The sequence below is a fragment of the Homo sapiens genome, chromosome 5 (assembly GCF_000001405.40).
Source record: "Homo sapiens chromosome 5, GRCh38.p14 Primary Assembly".
NCBI classification, from domain to species: Eukaryota; Metazoa; Chordata; class Mammalia; order Primates; family Hominidae; genus Homo; species Homo sapiens.
The window spans coordinates 115,657,279-115,678,359 of record NC_000005.10 but is presented as its reverse complement, the minus strand read 5'-3'; the positions used below and the strand labels follow the sequence as shown (position 1 = coordinate 115,678,359).

Sequence of the window (21,081 nt, the reverse complement as noted above, 5' to 3'; positions counted from 1 at the left end):
ATGAAGCCCACTTGATCATAGTGGATAAGCTTTTTGATGTGCTGCTGGATTCAGTTTGCTAGTATTTTATTGAGGATTTTTGCATCAATGTTCATCAAGGATATTGGTCTAAAATTCTCCTGTTTGGTTGTGTCTCTGCCAGGCTTTGGTATCAGGATGATGCTGGCCTCATAAAATGAGTTAGGGAGGATTCCCTCTTTTTCTATTGATTGGAATAGTTTCAGAAGGAATAGTACCAGTTCCTCCTTGTACCTCTGGTAGAATCCGGCTGTGAATCCATCTGGTCCTGGACTCTTTTTGGTTGGTAAGCTAATGATTATTGACACAATTTCAGATCCTGTTATTGGTCTATTCAGAGATTCAACTTCTTCCTGGTTTAGTCTTGGGAGAGTGTATGTGTCGAGGAATTTATCCATTTCTTCTAGATTTTCTAGTTTATTTGCGTAGAGGTGTTTGTAGTATTCTCTGATGGTAGTTTGTATTTCTGTGGGATCGGTGGTCATATCCTCTTTATCAATTTTTTATTGCGTCTATTTGATTCTTCTCTCTTTTTTTCTTTGTTAGTCTTGCTAGTGGTCTATCAATTTTGTTGATCCTTTCAAAAAACCAGCTCTTGGATTCATTAATTTCTTGAAGGGTTTTTTGTGTCTCTATTTCCTTCAGTTCTTCTTTGATTTTAGTTATTTCTTGCCTTCTGCTAGCTTTTGAATGTGTTTGCTCTTGCTTTTCTAGTTCTTTTAATTGTGATGTTAGGGTGTCCATTTTAGATCTTTCCTGCTTTCTCTTGTGGGCATTTAGTGCTAGAAATTTCCCTCTATACACTGCTTTGAATGTGTCCCAGAGATTCTGGTATGTTGTGTCTTTGTTCTCGTTGGTTTCAAAGAACATCTTCATTTCTGCCTTCATTTCGTTATGTACCCAGTAGTCATTCAGGAGCAGGTGGTTCAGTTTCCATGTAGTTGAGCAGTTTTGAGTGAGTTTCTTAATCCTGAGTTCTAGTTTGATTGCACTGTGGTCTGAGAGATAGTTTGTTATAATTTCTGTTCTTTTGCATTTTTTGAGGAGAGTTTTACTTCCAAGTATGTGGTCAATTTTGGAATAGGTGTGGTGTGGGGCTAAAAAAATGTATATTCTATTGATTTGGGGTGGAGAGTTCTGTAGATGTCTACCATCTACAGACATCTGTAGATGTCTACAGAACAGCGGATTAGGTCCGCTTGGTGCAGAGCCGAGTTCAATTCCTGGGTATCCTTGTTGATTTTCTGTCTCGTTGATCTGTCTAATGTTGACAGTGGGGTGTTAAAGTCTCCCATTATTAATGTGTGGGAGTCTAAGTCTCTTTGTAGGTCACTCAGGACTTGCTTTATGAATCTGGGTGCTCCTGTATTGGGTACATAGATATTTAGGAGAGTTAGCTCTTCTTGTTGAATTGATCCCTTTACCAATGGCCTTCTTTGTCTCTTTTGATCTTTGTTGGTTTAAAGTCTGTTTTATCAGAGACTAGGATTGCAACCCCTGCCTTTTCTTGTTTTCCATTTGCTTGGTAGATCTTCCTCCATCCTTTTATTTTGAGCCTACGTGTGTCTCTGCATGTGAGATGGGTTTCCTGAATACAACACACTGATGGGTCTTGACTCTTTATCCAATTTGCCAGTCCGTGTCTTTTAATTGGAGCATTCAGTCCATTTACATTTAAAGTTAATATTGTTATGTGTGAATTTGATCCTGTCATTATGATGTTAGCTGGTTATTTTGCTCATTAGTTGATGCAGTTTCTTCCTAGTCTCTATGGTCTTTACATTTTGGCATGATTTTGCAGTGGCTGGTACCGGTTTTTCCTTTCCATGTTTAGTGCTTCCTTCAGGAGCTCTTTTAGGGCAGGCCTGGTGGTGACAAAATCTCTCAGCATTTGCTTGTCTGTAAAGGATTTTATTTCTCCTTCACTTATAAAGCTTAGTTTGGCTGGATATGAAATTCTGGGTTGAAAATTCTTTTCTTTAAGAATGTTGAATATTGGCCCCCACTCTCTCCTGGCTTGTAGAGTTTCTGCCGAGAGATCCGCTGTTAGTCTGATGGGCTTCCCTTTGTGGGTAACCCGACCTTTCTCTCTGGCTGCCCTTAACATTTTTTCATTCATTTCAACTTTGGCAAATGTGACAATTATGTGTCTTGGAGTTGCTCTTCTCGAGGAATATCTTTGTGGCGTTCTCTGTATTTCCTGAATCTGAATGTTGGCCTGCCTTGCTAGATTGGGGAAGTTCTCCAGGATAATGTCCTGCAGAGTGTTTTCCAACTTGGTTCCATTCTCCCCGTCACTTTCAGTTACACCAATCAGACGTAGATTTGGTCTTTCACATAGTCCCATATTTCTTGGAGGCTTTGTTTGTTTCTCTTTATTCTTTTTTCTCTAAACTTCCCTTCTCGCTTCATTTCATTCATTTCATCTTCCATCGCTGATACCCTTTCTTCCAGTTGATCACGTCGGCTCCTGAGCCTTCTGCATTCTTCACATAGTTCTCGTGCCTTGGCTTTCAGCTCCATCAGCTCCTTTAAGCACTTCTCTGTATTGGTTATTCTAGTTATACATTCATCTAAATTTTTTTCAAAGTTTTTAACTTCTTTGCCTTGGGTTTGAATTTCCTCCTGTATCTCGTAGTTTGATCGGCTGAAGCCTTCTTCTCTCAACTCATCAAAGTCATTCTCTGTCCAGCTTTGTTCCATTGCTGCTGAGGAACTGTGATCCTTTGGAGGAGGAGAGGTGCTCTGCTTTTTAGAGTTTCCAGTTTTTCTGCTCTGTTTTTTCCCCATCTTTGTGGTTTTATTTACTTTTGGTCTTTGATGATGGTGATGTACAGATGGGTTTTTGGTGTGGATGTCCTTTCTGTTTGTTAATTTTCCTTCTAACAGACAGGACCCTCAGCTGCAGGTCTGTTGGAGTTTGCTAGAGGTCCACTCCAGACCCTGTTTGCCTGGGTATCAGCAGCGGTGTCTGCAGAACAGTGGTTTTTCGTGAACCGCGAATGCTGCTGTCTGATTGTTCCTCTGGAAGTTTTGTCTCAGAGGAGTACCCGGCCGTGTGAGGTGTCAGTCTGTCCCTACTGGGGGGTGCCTCCCAGTTAGGCTGCTGAGGGGTCAGGGGTCAGGGTCCCACCTGAGGAGGCAGTCTGCCCGTTCTCAGATCTCCAGCTGCGTGCTGGGAGAACCACTGCTCTTTTCAAAGCTGTCAGACAGGGACATTTAAGTCTGTAGAGGTTACTGCTGTCTTTTCGTTTGTCTGTGCCCTGCCCCCAGAGGTGGAGTCTACAGAGGCAGGCAGGCCTCCTTGAGCTGTGGTGAGCTCCACCCAGTTGGAGCTTTCTGGCTGCTTTGTTTACGTAAGCAAGCCTGGGCAATGGCAGGCGCCCCTCCCCCAGCCTCGCTGCAGCCTTGCAGTTTGATCTCAGACTGCTGTGCTAGCAATCAGTGAGACTCCATGGGCGTAGGACCTTCCGAGCCAGGTGCAGGATATAATCTCCTGGTGCGCCATTTTTTAAGCCCATCTGAAAAGCGCAGTATTCGGGTGGGAGTGACCCGATTTTCCAGGTGCCGTCTGTCACCCCTTTCTTTGACTAGGAAAGTGAACTCCCTAACTCCTTGCGCTTCCCGAGTGAGGCAATGCCTCACCCTGCTTCTGCTCACGCACGGTGCGCTGCACCCACTGACCTGCACCCACTGTCTGGCACTCCCTAGTGAGATGAACCCGGTACCTCAGATGGAAATTCAGAAATCACCTGTCTTCTGCGTCACTCACGCTGGGAGCTGTAGACCAGAGCTGTTGCTATTCGGCCATCTTGGCTCCTCCAGCAGAATATCTATTCTTCTCAAGTGCCTATGAACCATTCTCTAGTACAAACTACGTGTTATGCCATAAAACATAAATATAAAAGGATTGAAATAATACAAAATATGTTCTCCAATCACAATAAAATACAATTAGAAATCAATAACAGAAAAAAACTGGAAAACTTACAAAAATGTGGAAATTAAATGACAGTTCCAAATACCAATGGATTAAAGAAGAAATCAAAAGAAAATAAAAATATTCTAAGATGAATAAAAATGAAGGCATAACATATCAAAACATATGGGATGCCACGAAACTAATGCATAAAGGCAAATTTATAAATGCCTATATTAAAAAAGAAATAAGAGCTCATATCAACAGCCTTACCATTAGAAGCACCTTAAAACACTCAAGAGCAGCTAAATCTAAAACAAGCAGGAGAAAGGTAATAATAAAACCAAAAGTTGTGTATTTGAAAAGATTAACAAAAATAGGCAAATCTTTAGCTGGTCAAGAAAAAGAATACAGAAGACTAAACTTACTAAAATCAGGCATAAAAGAGGAGACATTACTACTGAACCTAGAGAAACAAATGAAAGGCTGCATCAGACTGTGGTTACCAACTTTTCCAAAGTGAAACTGAACACAACTTTCCTATTCTCCAGCATCAGTCTATTTGAAGCACAGAATGAAAAACTGCTTACAAAGCTGTTACTGAAAGCTACTCAGTTTGGTAGCTTTTAAATTGCTTGAACTTCTGCCAATGTAGGACAAAAGGTGCCACAGTCTACTTACTCAAGCTGTTCCCATCTCCCACTGGAAAGAAGAACTTGATGATAACAAAGACTTGGAGAGGGCCAAAATTAAAATCAAAATGGTAACGTTGCAGCAATTACACAAAAACAAAATGACCCACAAAAGTAAAACTTATGAATTTATATTTATTAGTTCAGGAATAGCAGCAATTGAAACTGTGACCCACTCATGCTAACATTGATGGTACAGATAATATAGTCCAGTCTGAGAATTATGGAAATTCTAATGTTTCTGGGCAACAGGCACAATGAGAATTTTATAGCATTCAGTGGCAGCCAGATGCTTTGTAATAGAGTCTTCAGTAAACTCTGGCAACTGGCGAATTTTATGTTATGACCACGCAATTTAGGAATCCTTAGTATTTACTCAGTGATATAAGTTTATATAATTATACATTAGCCCCCATAAGAATCAAAGACTTATAAGAAGAGGAGCCTCAAGTCCCATTCATGTCTGACAAATTTTATTTTGAGAATCACTGCTTTAGAACTATCTGTGAGTTACCATTTATGTACTGGGACATATGACAGCATCATCAGAGCCTTCTTTCTGTCTTTTTAGAGAAAATAGTAAGATTGACTTGATTCCATGCCTTCCATGAGTTCAAAGCTCTTCCCATAATTTCTATAAATTTCTGGGGGTGGAATGCAGGTGGGCCACACTTTACCATCTCATGACCTCTTTCCTTTGATTCTCTCTTTTGTGTGAGAGATCTCTGTGCTGTGCCACAGCAATGCAGATGTGAGTGAGCCTCTGCCCTCTTTTAAAATCATCGACAACAAAATCCCCTCAGAAAAATGTTTCATGAAGATTTATGGGAAGACAGAGGAGTGATATGACAGTAAACAAACACTTTCAAATAAAGGAATAAGCTTCTGTGCTTAAAATAGTCTTCACCCATCTCTCTCCTTGCTTTATCCTCTTCTTCTCCTCCCCTCCTCCACAACCTTGGAGTTTGGCCCACACTTTTCACCTCGTGCTAGCTGGTCTTCATCTTGTTTCTCCTCTTGATTCTCTTCTCTGTTTTTGGTTTTCTTCTCTCCTCTGTTTAGAACAAAAAACCAGCTCATCTGATTCTCTCAGGGGAAGAGCTTTGATATTTTTCTGAAGATATGTCACCTGTGAATGAATACTCAGGACCTTGGGGGTCTCACCTTCACTTTATTCCCTGGAATGTTTCCCTGGAAAATTAACTGTGACTAGCATACAGGATTATATAAGACCATGGCAGAGGACACAGCCACTTGGTCATTACAGGTGGCATTTTCTAAGAAATGCAGAGATTTTCCCAGAAAAAAAAGGTGGAGAAAATGTGGTGTGGAACAAAAATTGATTGTTTACTAAATATTTACTGTGGAAGAATGAGTTAGTGGAACAGGCAAGTCATGAGGAAAAGAGAGAATGATCAATAAAGCTACCTCAGGTGGGGTAGGGGGCCAGGATCAAAACTAAAGTGGAGAAATTACTCTTTTTCTGAAGGAATGACAGCTCTTTTACTGAGAAAGCATAAAAGAAGATAAGGAGGGTGAGCTGCAAATGAGATGTATTTATATGTGGCTGGGTGAGTCAGTTAAGGGTTTGCTCCTGCAATGACTTGGATTTTCTCAGTGAAGTCAGGCCGAAACTCAACTGCTGACTGAGGACAGAGTTAGGAGAGGGTTTAGCATTGTGGCTTGAGATCATTAGTTGCCAGTATTCCTTTCTTTGGCATTGTTTTCTGATGTAAAAAATTTTTCTGGGTACATAGTACATGTATATATTTACAGATTACATAAGATATTTTGATGCAGGCATGCAATGCATAAAAATCACATCAGGGCAGATGGGGTATCCATCACCTCAAGCATTTATCCTTTGTGTTACAAACAATCCAATTATACACTTTTAGTTATTTTAAAATGTACACTTAAATTATTTTTGACTATAGTCACCCTGTTGTACTAGCAAATACTAGGTCTTAGCCATTCTTTCTAACTTTTCATACCCATTAACCGTTTCAGTGCCCACACCCCACCACTTTTCACTACTCTTCACACCCTCTGGTAACCATCCTTCTACTCTGTCTTCATGAGTTCAATTATTTTAGTTTTTAGCTCCCACAAATAAGTGAGAACATGTGAAGTCTGTTTTTCTGGGTTTGGCTTATTTCACTTGACATGATAACCTCAATCAAGTCCCATCCATGTTGGTTTAAATGACAGGATCTCATTCTTTTTATGGCTTTGTAGTACTTCATTGTGTATATGGACCACATTGTCTTTATCCATTTGTCTGTTGATGGACACTTAAGTTGCTTCCAAATCTTGGCTATTTTGAATAGTGCTGCAATAAACATGGGAGTGCAAATATCTCTTTGATATTCTGATTTCTTTTCTTCTGGGTATATACCTAGGAGTGGGATTGCTGGATCGTAAGGTAGCTCTATTTTTAGTTTCCTGAGGAACCCCCAAACTGTTCTTTCTCCATAGTGGTTGCACTAATTTACATTTCCACCAACAATATACAAGGGATCCCGTTTCTTCACATCCTCACCAGCATCCATTATTGCCTGTCTTTTGGATAAAAGCCATTTAAACCAGGGTAAGATTTAAGATTATATCTCATTGTAGTTTCTAAAAAAATAATTATCATACTTGTTTTTATTCATCTTTCTTTAATGTATGTATAGCTCACATTTATTTTAATCCTTAATATTAGAAATGTTTGGAGTCTTTATTTGGAAGTTTTGTGATGTTTTTGTTTTTAATTTTTAATTTTATTTGTATTTATTTTTATTTTTGGGTACATAATGGGTGTATATATTTATGGGGTACATGAGATGCTTTGATATAGGTATGCAATGCATAATAATCACATCACATAAAACAGGGGTATCCATCATGTCAAACATTTATTCTTGTGTTACAAACAATCCAATTATACCCTTTTAGTTGCTTTAAAATGTACAATTAAATTATTGTTGACTATACTCACCCTGTTGTGCTAGCAAATACTAGGTTTTATTCATCCTTTCTGTTTTTTGTACCCATTAGCTATCCTCACATCCCCTCCACTACCCTTCCCAGCCTCTTGTAACCATCCTTCTACTCCCTATCTCCATGAGTTCAGTTGTTTTGATTTTTAGCTTGCAAAAATAAGTGAGAACATGTGATGTTTTTCTTTCTGTGCCTGGTTTATTTCACTTAGCATAATGGCTTCCAGTTTCATCCATGTTGTTGCAAATAACAGGATCGCATTCTTTTTTGTGGCTGTAATAGTACTTCACTGTGTATAAGTATCACATTTTTCTTTATCCATTCATCTGTTGATGAACACTTTAGCTGCTTCCAAATCTTAACCATTGTAAATAATGCTGAAGCAAACACAAGAGTGCAGATATCTCTTCAATATGCTGATTTCCTTTCTTTTGGGTAGATACCTAGCAGTGGGATTGCTGGATCATATGGTAGCTCTATTTTTAGTTTTTTGAGGAAACTCCATAGTGGTTGTACTAATTTACATTCCCATCAACAGTGTACAAGGGTTTCCTTTTCTCCACATCCTTGCCAGGATTTGTTATTGCCTGTCTTTTGGATATCAGCCAATCAGTGATTGTCTCTTCACTTGGTTGATTGTGCCCTTTGATGTGCTAACTTAATGTGATCCCATTTGTCCATTTTTGCTTTGGGTGCCTGTGCTTGTGGGATATTACTTGAGAAATGTTTGCCCAGATCAATGTTCTGGAGAGTTTTCCCAATGTTTTGTTGTAGTAGTTTCATAGTTTAATGTCTTATATTTAAGTCTTTAATTCATTTTGATTTGATTTTTATATATGGCAAGAGGTAGGAGTCTAGTTTAATTCTTCTGCATATGGATACTCATTTTTCTTAGCACCATTTATTGAAGAAACTGTCCTTTCTTCAATGTATGTTCTTTTCATCTTTGTCAAAAATGAGTTCACTGTAGACATATGGATTTATCTCTAGGTTCTTTATTCTGTTCCACTAATCTATATGTCTGTTTTAATGCCAGTACCATTCTGTTTTGGTTATTATAGCTCTGTAGTATAATTTAAAGTCAGGTAATGTGATTCCTCCAATTTTGTTCTTTTTGCTTAAGATGCTTTTGGATATTCTGGGTCTTTTTAATTTCATATAAATTTTGGGATTTTTTTCTATTTCTGTGAAGAATGTCATTGGTATTTTCATAAGGATTGCATTAAATCTGTAGATTGCTTTGAGAAGTATGGACATTTTAACAATATTGATTCTTCTAATCCATGAACATAAAAATGTCTTTCCTTTTTTTGCATCTTTTTCAATTTCTTACATCAATGTATTATAGTTTTCATTGTACAGATCTTTTGCTTTTTTGATTAAGTTAATTCCTAGGTATTCTATTTTATTTGTCGCTATTGTAAATGGAATTACTTTCTTGATTTCTTTTCAGATTGTTCACTGTTGGCATATAGAAATGCAACTGATTTTTGTATTTTCATTCTCTATCCTGCAACTTTACTGAATTTATGTGGTGTGAGTTGTAATACTTCCTTTTTCATCTCTGATTTTATTTATTTGGATCTTCTCCCTTTTTTCTTAGTCTGGCTAAAGGTTTGCCAATTTTGCTAATCTTTAAAAGACCAGCTTTTTCTTTCATTGTCCTTTTGTATTGTTTTCTTCATTTCAAATTCATTTATTTCTGCTCTGATCTTTATTACTTCCTTCTTCTACTAATTTTGGGTTTGGTTTGCTCTCACTTTCTAGTTCTTTAAGATGCATTATTAGGTTGTTTATTTGAATTTTTTGCTTTTTGATGAAGGCACTTATAGCTATAAAGTTCTTTTTAGTACTGCTTTCACTGTATCCCTCAGGTTTTGGTATGTGTGTTTCCATTATTATTTGTTTCAAGAAATTTTTCAAATTCTTTCTCAATTTCTTTATTGACCAACTGGTCATTCAGGAACATATTGTTTGATTTCCATGTGTTTGTATAATTTCCAAAATTCCTCTTGCTATTGATTTCTAGTTTTATTCCATTGTGGTCAGAGAAGATGTGTGATATTATTTCAAATCTTTTAAATGTTTTGTGATCTAACATATAGTCTATCCTTGAGAATGGTTCATGTACTGAGAAAAAAATTTATTCTGGAGCTGTTGGGTAAAATGTTCTGTAAATATTTATTAGGTCCTTTTGGTTTATAGTGCAGATTATGTTTGATGCTTCTTTGTTGATTTTTGGTCTGGAAGGTCTATCCAATTATGCAAGTGGGGTGTTAAAATCTCCAGCTGTTATTGTATTTGGGTCTATCTCTTTTTTAACTCTAATAATATTTGCTTTATATATCTGGGTGCTCCAGTGTTTGGTGCATATATATTTATAATGGTCATATCCTTTTGGTGAATTAGTTCCTTTATCATTATATAGAGAACTTCTTTGTCTATTCCTATAGTTTTTGTCTTCACATCTATTTTGTCTGATATAAATACAGATACTCTTGCTCTGCTTTGGTTTCATTGGTATAGAATATCTTTTCCATCTCTTTATTTTCTGTTTATGTGTGCCTTTATAGGTGAAATGTGTTTCTTTCTTTTTTTTTTTTTTTTTTTGAGACAGACTCTCACTGTGTCGTCCAGGCTGGAGTGCAGTGGCATAATCTCAGCTCACTGCAACCTCTGCCTCCCGGGTTCAAGTGATTCTCCTGCCTCAGCCTCTCGAGTAGCTGGGGCTATAGTTATGTGTCACCACACCTGGCTAATTTTTGTAATTTTAGTAGAAATGGGGTTTCACTATGTTGGCCAGGCTGGTCTCGAACTCCTGACCTTGTGATCTGCCCACCTCAGCCTCCCAAAGTGCTGGGATTACAGGTGTGAGCCACTGCACCCAGCCTGGAAAAATGTGTTTCTTGTAGGCAACATATCACTGGGTCATTTTTTTTTTTTTAATCACTTCAGCCAGTCTATGTCTTTTGATTGGAGAGTTTAGTCCATTTATATTCAATGTTATTAGTGACAAGTAAGGACTTACTCCTGCCATTTTGTTATTTGTTTTCTGCTTGTGTGTGTGTGTGTGTGTGTGTGTGTGTGTGTGAGTGAGTGATCTTTTCTTTCTTTCCTTCCTGTCTTGCTTTTAGTGAAGCTAATTTTTTTCTGGTGGTATGATTTAATTTCTTGCTTGTTATTTTTTGGTTTATCTGTTGTATGTTTTTTAATTTGAAGTTACCATGAGGCCTGCAAAGAGTACCTTATAAGCCATTATTTTAAAATGATAAAAATGTAATCCTGTTTGCATAAACAAACAAATAAGCAAGCAAAAGGAAAACTAATAAATACTATATACCTTAACTTCATCCATTTTAACTTTATTGTCTCTATTTATATCTTATTGTACTGTGTATCCTTGAAAAGTTACTGTAGTTATTATTTTTGATTGGTTCATCAAAAAGATTGGTTCTCTTTCTACTTAAGATCATTGTAGTTTACACACCACAGTTACAGTGTTATAATACTCTGTGATTTTTTTGTGTACTTACTATTACCAGTGAGTTTTGTGCCTTCAGATGATTTTTTATTGTTCATTAACGTCTTTTTCTTTCAGACTGAAATATTCTCTTTGGCATTTCTTGTAGGACAGATCTGATATTGAAGAAATCCTCAGCTTTGTTTGTCTGGGAAAGTCTTTATTTCTCCTTCATATTTGAAGGATATTTTCACCCAATATACTATTGTAGGGTAAAAGTTATTTGCCTTCAGCATTTCAAGTATGTCGTACTACTCTCTCTGGGCCTGTAAGGTTTCTACTGAAAAGTCTGCTGCCAGATGTATTGGAGCTCCATTGTATGTTATTTGTTTCTTTTCTCTTGATGCTTTTAGGGTCCTTTTTTACTCTTGATCTTTGGGAGTTTGGTTATTAAATGCCTTGAGGGAGTCTTCTTTGGGTTAAATGTGCTTGGCATTCTATAACCTTTTTGTACTTGGATATTGATATCTTTCTCTAGGTTTGGGAAGTTCTCCATTGTTATCCCTTTGAATAAACTTTCTATCCCACCTCCTTTTTAAGACCAATAACTTAGATTTGCTCTCTTGAGACTATTTTCTAGGTCCTGTAGGCATGCTTCATTGTTTTTATTCTTTTTTTGTTTTGTCTCCTCTGACTGTGTATTTTCAAATAGCCTGTCTTCAAGTTCACCAATTCTTTATTCTGCTTGATTAATTTGGCTGTTGGAAGACTGATGCGTTCTTCAGTATGCCAATTGTGTTTTTCATCTCCAGAATTTCTGCTTGTTTCTTTATTCTTTGTGTTTCCCCAAAACAGCTATTTTGAATTCCCTGTCAGAAAGGTCACATATTTCTCTTTCTCTAGGCCTGGTCTCTGGTGCCTTATTTAGTTAATTTGGTGAGGTCATGTTTTCCTGTATGGTCTGATGCTTATGGATGTCCTTCGGTGTCTAGGCATTGAAGAATTAGATATTTACTGTGGTCTTTGCAGTCTGGACTTGTTTGTACTTGTCCTTCTTGGGAAGGCTTTTCCAAGTATTCAAATAGTCTTGAGTGTTGTGAGCTAAGCCTGCTTTAGGGGGCACCCCAATCCCAGTAATAATGTGGTTCTTGCAGACTCAAAGGTACCACCTTCGTAGTCTGGGATAAGATCCAGAAAAATTATCTGGATTATGGGACAGAGACTCTTGTCCTCTTCTCTTACTTTCTCCCAAACAAATGAAGTCTCTCTCACTCTCTGTTTTGAACCTCCTGGAGCTGGGGTTGGAGAGCCCCTGTGGACACCATCCCTGAGTCTGTACTGGGTCAGATTGAAACAAGGACAGCACTGGATATCTCCCAGGGCCCACTGTAACCACTACCTTGCTACCACATATGTTTGCTCAAGGCCCTGTGTCTCTACAATTAGCAGGGGGTGAAGCCAGCCTGGCTTATGTCCTTCCCTTCAGTGGGGCAAGTTACCTCATGCTCCACATGGTCCAGAGGTGCTGTCTGGGAGCTAGGGACTAGAGTCAAAAACCTTAGAAGTCTCTTTGGTATTCTATTGTACTGCAGCTGAGCTGGTACTCAAACCAAGATATGCAGTCCTTCCCACTCTTCCCTTCCCTTTCCACAGGTAGAGATGCCTCACCCCATGACCACCACCACCACAAGCCATCAGGGAGTACTACCAGGTTACCATCGATGTTCCCTTAAGTTCCAAGGGCTCTTCAGTCAGTTTGTGGTGAATGTTGCCTAGCCTAAGACTCAACCTTCAGGGTAGTGGGCTCTTCTCTGGCCCAGGGAAGGTTCGGAAATGCTGTCCAAGTGCCAAAGCCTGGAACTGAGGACCCTAAGATCCCACTTGGTGCTCTACCTCACTGTGCCGAATTGGTACCTAAGGTGAAAGACAAACTCTCCTTTACTTTTTCCTCCACTTTTCTCAAGCACAAGGAGTCTCTCCCTGTAGCCACCATAGCTGGGAATGTATTGAGTCTCACCTGAAACCAGAAAGTCTCAGAGTCTCACCCAAGGCCTACAATATACTACCTGGTTATAGCTGCTGTTTTTTCAGGGCCCAAGGGCTCTTTAGTTAGCAAGTGATGAGTCCTGACAAGACAAATCCTTCCCTTCAAGGCAGCAGGTTCCCTTCTAGCCCAGAGTGTGTCTAGAAATGTTGTCCAGGAACTAGGGCCTGGAAAGGGGACCTCACGACTCTGACTGGTACCCTATCCTACTGTGGCTGAGCTAGTATCCAAGATGCAAAACAAAGTCCTCTGTACTATTCTCTCTCCTCTACTCAAGCAGAAGGATGGGATGTGTTCTGGAGCTGCAAGCTGTGCAACCTGGGGTTAAAAGAGGGTTGGTGCAAGCATGTTCTTAGCCACCCTGGCTGGTGTCTCAGTAAGTCGGATACCCCCCAAGCCCACTGTCTCTGAGCCCAGTTCAGCACTGGGACTCATGTAGGGGTTGCGGTATTTGTGGCCTAGACTTCCTTTCAAGTTTGTTTAGAGCCCAAGAGCACTTTAGCTCATGGTGGTGAAGCTTGCTAGAACTCAAGTTCTGATCTCTGGGATGGGTGATTCTCCTCTAGCTAGGCTGGTTTAAATACTGCCTCCATGGATGGGCATAAGCTGAGTTAGCCCAGTTTTGCTTTCTGCTGTGACAGGGCAGCACTGAGTTCAATGCAATGCCTCACAATTGCTACTCTCTCCCTCTCCCAAGCCCACAGATCCTCTCTCCATGTCACATGGCCACTGCCAACAGATGTCGGAGGAGTAAAATTGGCAATTCAAGACAGTCTTTCCTACCCTCTTCAATGCCTCTTTCAGCAATATAAAGCTAAAACCAGATACTGTGAGTGCACAGCTGATTTTTGATTCTTATGAAGGTGTTTTTTTGGTGTAGATAGTTGTTAAATTTGTGTACTTGTGGGGGTGAGGGTGGGGATCAGTGAGGCCTTCTATTCAGCCATCTTGCTCTGCCCCTCTCACCAGCATTTCTAATCTCTTATATTGTACAGTCATTTCCACCATTTATACTCAACATGGGTATGAGCAGATGAGAAATATGATGGATGGAATCTGGGCTGTGGTTTTGAGTCCAGTAAAATAGAAGAGCGTGAAGACAAGTAAGCAAATACAGTGATAGAACAAAAGCATCATCTAAGTTGGTAAACTGGAAAAAAAATTGAGGGGTTCAAATAAATGAACCTGGGTAAGATTAGATATATTGTGAGTGAAAGGCTGAGATAGAAGAATAAGAGGTTGCTGACAGAAGGTATGCTATTAATGGTAAAGATATCAGTTGGAAAAAAAGCTTTAAATGACATGATCCAGAGTATGACCCATGTGAACTACTTTTGTGGAATTGTAGATGGAAATCACTGGCACTGAGGAGGTCAACGAACTCTGAAGCTAGGCTCTTTGATTGGTGATCCCCAAGTAGGTGGGTATTTCAGGATGGTGGCCATCGAGGGGTGAGGTGGAAGACCTCATGAGAGAGTGAACAGGAGGTTGGAATAAGGCAGTGATGAAGTTGTGGAAGAGAAGGAGAAAACAGTTTAATAGTTCATCAAAGTAACTTTATTTCAAAAAATGAAGTCATCATTTACATGGAATAAATACGAAAACTCATGCATTTTTTTTTTTTTTTTTTGGTATAGGAATCAAGTTTGTCCTTGAGTGAGAATAGATGAGAGAAAATGTGGAGCTCCTGACATAGTAGCAGAGGAAAAATGATCACTACCACAGTGTGCTACTCTGATGCTTCAAAAAGATCAAGACATAATGCTAAAGCCTGATCAAAAGGTGGGTCCAGATTTTTTTTATTTTTTATTTTTTTTTGAGATGGAGTCTTGCTCTGTCACCCTGGCTGGAGTGCAGTGGTGCAATCTTGGCTCACTGCAACCTCCGCCTCCCGGGTTCAAGCGATTCTTCTGCTTCAGCCTCCTGAGTAGCTGGGACTACAGGTGCCTGCCACCACGCCCAGCTAATTTTTGTATTTTTAGTAGAGACAAGGTTTCACCATGTTGGTCAGCCTGGTTTCGAACTCCTGACCTTGTGATCTGCCCACCTTGGCCTCCCAAAGTGCTGGGATTATAGGCCTGAGCCACCTCACCTGGCCCAGATTTTGTTTTTTAAATGAAGGCTGCAAAGACAGTGGGTTGGGTACCTGCTAGCAAAAGTTGAGAGACTAGAAAATCTTATAGAGATGGATTTTGGGTGTTTCTGAAACAGTTAAAGCAAGGAATGCTGCTCTTACACAATATAAACAAATGCCCCCTACACTGCCCCCCCCACACTAGATGTTACAGGCTGAATTCTCACTCTAAAAGGCAATCATTACTATGAAAAGAGACAGATTATTAATTGAACAAATCACTTAAAAGTTCTGGAAGACAGTTTTCTCTCTAGGTTAAAAATCCATGGTCCAGGGCCAGGCACAGTGGCTTGTGCCTGGAATCCCAGCACTTTCGGAAGCCAAGGCAGGAAGATCATTTGAGCTCAGGAGTTCAAGACAAACCTTGGCAACATAGTGAGACCCTTTCTCTATAAAAAGAAAAAAACTTTTTTTAAAATCCGTTGTGGTACTAATGGGATAAATTATAGAGGAAAGTATACTTGGACATGATGTGTAGAACAATGTAAATCTCTGGACTCCCTGTGACCAATTCGATTTTGCAGATCAGCATCGTGCAAAGATCTGTTTACGCATCCCCAAGACTACCACCGATTAATGAACAGGACATTTTTCTCAGGCTACACCGTTACCGGCCAGTTCCAAGGAAGATGATGAATATTGTATTTTCCTTTTCTACCACTCTTTAGGATTCTTGGACAAAAATCTAAGAAGGGAACAATTCCTTTAAAAGAGACACCTTGAGGCTCTAATAAAACAAAGGTTTCTACTTAACCTCAAACAGCAAAGATTAAACTGCAAACTATTTGACACCAAAGTTATTAGAATGGTACAAATAAATAATAAATTTATCTTAAATGCCAGAGTATAATTTTTTAAAAGCCAACCCCATGATGAACCAAAATTTATCCATTCATTAATCCACTTACTCAAGAAAGACATAAGATGCCAGAGATACAATGATGAGCCTTGGTCAAAAGAAAAAAAAATGTTTTTTTGGTTTTTTTTTTTTGCAGAAGTTTACTTACAAGTATTAAGTCACAGATACTCCTGATAGGAGGCAAATATGCTTCTTGTTTTTTCACCTCTTGGTAGAACTTTATATGTAGTCTTATCTGACTTTACTCCAATAATTTAATATTTGTAAAAGGGATTCAGTATAGAGCCTTATATCGATACTGTGCTATCAGTTTTTAGAAATAAAATGAACAAGGCAGCAAGCTGAAAGAAATACTTCTATTGGTTGTTACTGAAAAGTAGTTAGTTTTCAGCATCTCTTAAGAAAGAATGCGACTTGCTTAGTCCAGTCAGAGAGGAAAATTCTATACACAAAATCCATCAAAGCCATTGTGAGAGGACTTGTTTGCCTGGAGACTGCAGGGTTTTTCTTTGAATAGCCTCCTTCAGGAAGCTGTACATTTCATTAGTTAAGATTCTGCTTTTGAGGGAAGAGTAATCCAGTCATCTACAGTCTCTAAAATTATGTCCAATTAACCACTGGTAAGCATTAACTAAGAAGAAAGATTTGCTGTCAAAATTTACTCTATTAAAATTGGAATTGAAAACTGTAACAATAAAAACTCTAAGCTTTCTTAGAGCCATGTTGTATTATTTGAAAGCACCAGAAAATCTGTTCAGAATCTCTAGTGTAGGAATGCTGAGCTTTTTCTCTGGAGGAGAGCACATTTATGAGTGTTGGCTGAGGGCTCGCTCAGTCTGGGGGTAGGTCACAGGGTGAAATGGAGATTAGCTCAGCACTCATTCTGCTGGCTCTGTTGGCAATGAGATTTTATTTTCTTTACTCTTAGATTCTGTGGGGGAAATTGAGGGTGATATTCAGATGAGTTGAATGCCAAGTATTTGGAAAACCGTGAGAGTTCAACAGTTTCTAAGAGCCCCAATCATTCTGAGCGTTTTGATTGTGCCAGTAATTGTAAATCTCGTTTTAGCAGCCTGCACACAGAGGCTCCACAGAAGACAATGATTCCTCAGAAAAGCTCTATTTGTATTACCTGTACTGAATGAACATGGGCTTTGCTAGATTATTTTATTCTTCTCTCAAATTTAAACTTAAACCCATTGAGTGAATCTTCTAAAACTTGTAATCTAGCAAAAACTTTGAATCTGCAATTTAGCAAAGACTTTGAATATGTTGATGCATAATATAGAACCATCTTACAGGCACTAATTTGAACAGAAAATGTAAGTGTAACACTAAGGGAAACCTATATGAAGATCCTGTGAGCAGGTGAGATTTAAAAAAAAATGTTGAGACAGATTTTTTTTTTTAATACTGGTCAATTATTGCTATTAGGGCAATTTGGGTTGCAAGTGCAGACATCTAAAACAAACTAGTTTAAGCAAAAAAGCAATTGATTATGGGTCCAGCCATGGCTGGATCCAGGGCCTTAACAATATTGTTAGCAATCAGTCTCTCTTACACCTTGCTGCCTCATTCCCCATCTCTGCTCTGCTTTCCTCTATGTCAACTTCATTCTCAGGCAAGGCATTATTTTCGTTGTTTTGGAAAGATAGTCTTCAGTAACTCTGGGTCTAATTCGACCCAGCTAGTAACCTTAAGGAAAAAAAGATTGCCTTCTTCCCAGTGGTTTTAGGAAAAGCCATCCATAGGAATGACATTGATTGGCTTGGCTGGGAAGGGGGTCGGGCCTGCATCTCAGGAAACAAGACTCATATGTAATCATAAAATGTGGGGGGTGCATCCCAGAATGCTGAATTGTATGCGGTTAGCAAAAGAAGAGAGAAAGGATGTCAATTGGGTAAATGTAACAGGTTGCAAGAGTTAAAGTTCAAGTTATATCTAGGGTCAAGATTTTATTGCAATCATTTGTGTGGAAATAAAGTAGATGAGAAATAGTCTCAACCATTTTCATGGAGAAATGCAGCATAATTCCTACACAACTGTAGCTCCAGCAGTCTGACTGCAACTCTGGAGCAAAATAGCCACTCTAAAAATTTGCCACATCTTGGAGTCTTAGAGTCTGGCATGCTTCCTCCTGTAGTATCCAACCATTATGGTGCTTCTGTTTCTTCTGTTTTTGTAGCTACTAACTCATTTCTGCTCTTCATTTGTTCATAGTTTCTATTTATCGTTCTCTCTTTCTGTGTTTGTCATCTTCTGTACTACTATTTTTGTTTTATATTGTATTAATTTCTACTTTCAACATATATTCTTTCTTCTATTTTGTTTGGAGTTTCTCTATGGTCCTTCTTCTAGCAATTTTTTAGTTGAATAGCTCATTAATTTTTCATCTTTCTTGTTTTGTAATATATGCAATTAAGGCTATAAATTGCCTTCTAAGTACTGCATTAGCTGTATCCCACAAGTTTTGACATGCAGTGCTTTCTATGTCATCCAGTTCTAAATATTTTATAATTCTCATTAAAATTTTATTGTGACTTAAGAAACATTGTTATGAAGGCTTATTATATATAAAGTGCATAATTAAGTGAATAACTCAGTGAATTTTACATATGTCTACACTTGTGTAGCTACTGCCCAGATCAAGATATAAAACATTTCCAGCAACCCAAAGAACTTTTCTATACCTCTTTCCCCAAAATACCCCCCAAGAGATAACCGCTATTGACTAATACCATGGATTAGTCTTACCTCTTCTTAATATCATCTAGAAGGAACCATGTGTCCCATTTTGTGACTGATTTCTTTCACTCATCATTATGTCTGTGAGATTTATTCATATTAAAGCAACAGGTTTTTTCCCCCTCTCCATTACTGACAATGAATATACTTATTTGTCCATTCTACTCTCAAGTCATATTTGTATTGCTTCCAGTGTGGGGCTATTATGAGTAAAACTAGTATGAAAGTTCTTATAAATGTCTTTTGCTGGACATTTTTACTCATTTCTGTTGGGAATATAGCTAGCAGTAGAATTTTTGAATTATAGAATAGACATATATTTAGCTTTATTAGATATTTCCAAATTGTTTTTCATAGTGGTTTTTACCAACTTACACTCCCACCAGTATATGTGTGAGAGTTGGTCATTCCACGTTCCATCATATTTGGTATTGTCAGTTTTTTTCTAAATTTTACTTATTTTGGTGTGAAGCGTAGTACCTTAATGTCATTCATGTTTCATTTACCTGCTGACTATAATTCTGAACTCCTTTTTATATGCTAATTGGTCATTTGCATATCTTCTTTTATGAAATGTTAATTCAAACCTTTTTCTGATTTCTAAATTGCATTATTGTCTTTTTATAATTGAGTTGTAAGAGTTCTTTGCATATTCTGCATATGTCTTTTAACAGATATATGTATTGTGAATTTCTTCTCTCAGTTGGTAGTTTGTCTTTTCACTCTCTAAATAATCTCTTTTTATTAACAAAAGTTTGTACTTCAATGAAATCTTTTTTTTTCTCTCATTGGCAGTGCTTTTAGTGTCCTGTTTAAGAAAGGTTTACCCTCCTCAAGGCCATGAAGATTCTCTTATGTATTTTTTAAAAGCTTCACTCTTTTACCTTTACATTTGTTTGTGATCCATTTTATACTGATTTTTTATATTGCATGACAAAAGTATCAAGATTCATTTTCTTTTCCAATTCATGTCATCTGCAAATAATGACGATTTTATTACTTCCATTCCAAACGCTATACCTTTTATTTTTTCTCTTGCCATATTGTACCCATGAATGTTTTTGTAGTGTTTTTTAAAATTTCAAAACATATGAGGGTTTCTAATCTCCTTTTAACGTTGGTTTCTAATTTTGCTGCACTCTTTTCGGAGAACAAGCTGTATAGCATCCATTCTTAGGAATTTATTAAGCCTTGTTTTGTAGCCTTGTACACTATACATTTTTGCAAATGTCACATGTTTGCTTGGTCTCCAGACCCATTCATTCTACCTGTAGAGAAAGATATAGAGAGATGTTGCTCATTTAAGGCATTTGCCGTATCTTGCAGGATAGCCCCCTAACCTTGAAGGTGCTTTCTTTTAGCTGGTGCCAAAATTGTGAGGTCAGCAGGCTATTCTGCTCTTCTGGTGATCCAGCTCCTTTTTGGAGATGGGCAAGACTAGTGAATTCCAGTGGTGTGAACGCATTGTCATACTTTCTTTGCAGTAGTATGAATCATTCCATGACTCAGGGGACAGGGTTGCATTCATTCCCCCTAAGTGTCTATATTTTAATATAATAAGCCTCATGAACTTGAGCATTTAATTAATGCTGCAACCCTTATAATCAGATCCTAAGCTTAGTTCTCAACTACCTCCTCCTGCAGTTATTGGAAATAAGATGTGCTTTTAAAGTTGCATTCAGGGCTCTCTGATTTTCCACATAAATTCTCATCTGGCAATTTCATTTCTCTTTGTCCCTACTTATTCTCCCTAGGGCCTTTAGAACAACCCAGATGACACTATAGTTCCTAAGATCTGTAGAACTCGTAGCAATCAAGTTTTACCGCTACTTGATTTCCCAAAACCTTGACCTCCTGTGTCATCACCAGTGACAGTTTGAGTAACTGTGATACTACTATATGTCAAGGATTGTCCATACCCCATTCCCCCTGTACTCTTCAAATATTGCACAATCCAGTCCAGGATTTTAAGGATTTTACTTTGTTTTCTGGGACCAGTCACAGTATCAATTACTGTGCCAATTAAGTTCCCAGTGGGAAAAAGATGGTGCAGTCAAATTGGGTAATTTGAAGGGACTATTTATAAAAGTGCAATCAGAGTAGGACAAACCATGAGAAATAGTGCAATACTCTGGGACTGTAAATAGTAGAATTTCCAAAAGGCAAAGAGAAGGAGCAATTATGGGAACCTAGTTTAGGAAGTCACATGATAGGAGATAAGATAT

General features: G+C 38.3%; 1 long non-coding RNA gene across 1 annotated transcript in view, besides 2 other annotated features; it reads left to right on the top strand.

Annotated features, from left to right (window-relative positions):
- Positions 2,952–3,452: an enhancer, noted in NCBI's record as "H3K4me1 hESC enhancer chr5:115010605-115011105 (GRCh37/hg19 assembly coordinates)". NCBI's record gives its function as "activates a minimal SCP1, AML or CMV promoter by ChIP-STARR-seq in primed H9 embryonic stem cells {active_cell/tissue: H9 hESC(primed)}" and the evidence as "EXISTENCE:reporter gene assay evidence [ECO:0000049][PMID:30033119]".
- Positions 3,453–3,953: an enhancer, noted in NCBI's record as "H3K4me1 hESC enhancer chr5:115010104-115010604 (GRCh37/hg19 assembly coordinates)". NCBI's record gives its function as "activates a minimal SCP1, AML or CMV promoter by ChIP-STARR-seq in primed H9 embryonic stem cells {active_cell/tissue: H9 hESC(primed)}" and the evidence as "EXISTENCE:reporter gene assay evidence [ECO:0000049][PMID:30033119]".
- LOC102467217 (uncharacterized) overlaps positions 5,708–21,081 on the top strand; it is a 30,528-nt gene continuing 15,154 nt past the window's right edge. Inside the window, exons 1-3 of the long non-coding RNA NR_104674.1 lie at positions 5,708–5,896; positions 13,816–13,947; positions 14,756–14,900. This is a non-coding gene — a long non-coding RNA (uncharacterized LOC102467217). The remainder of the gene's footprint in view (positions 5,897–13,815; positions 13,948–14,755; positions 14,901–21,081) is intronic.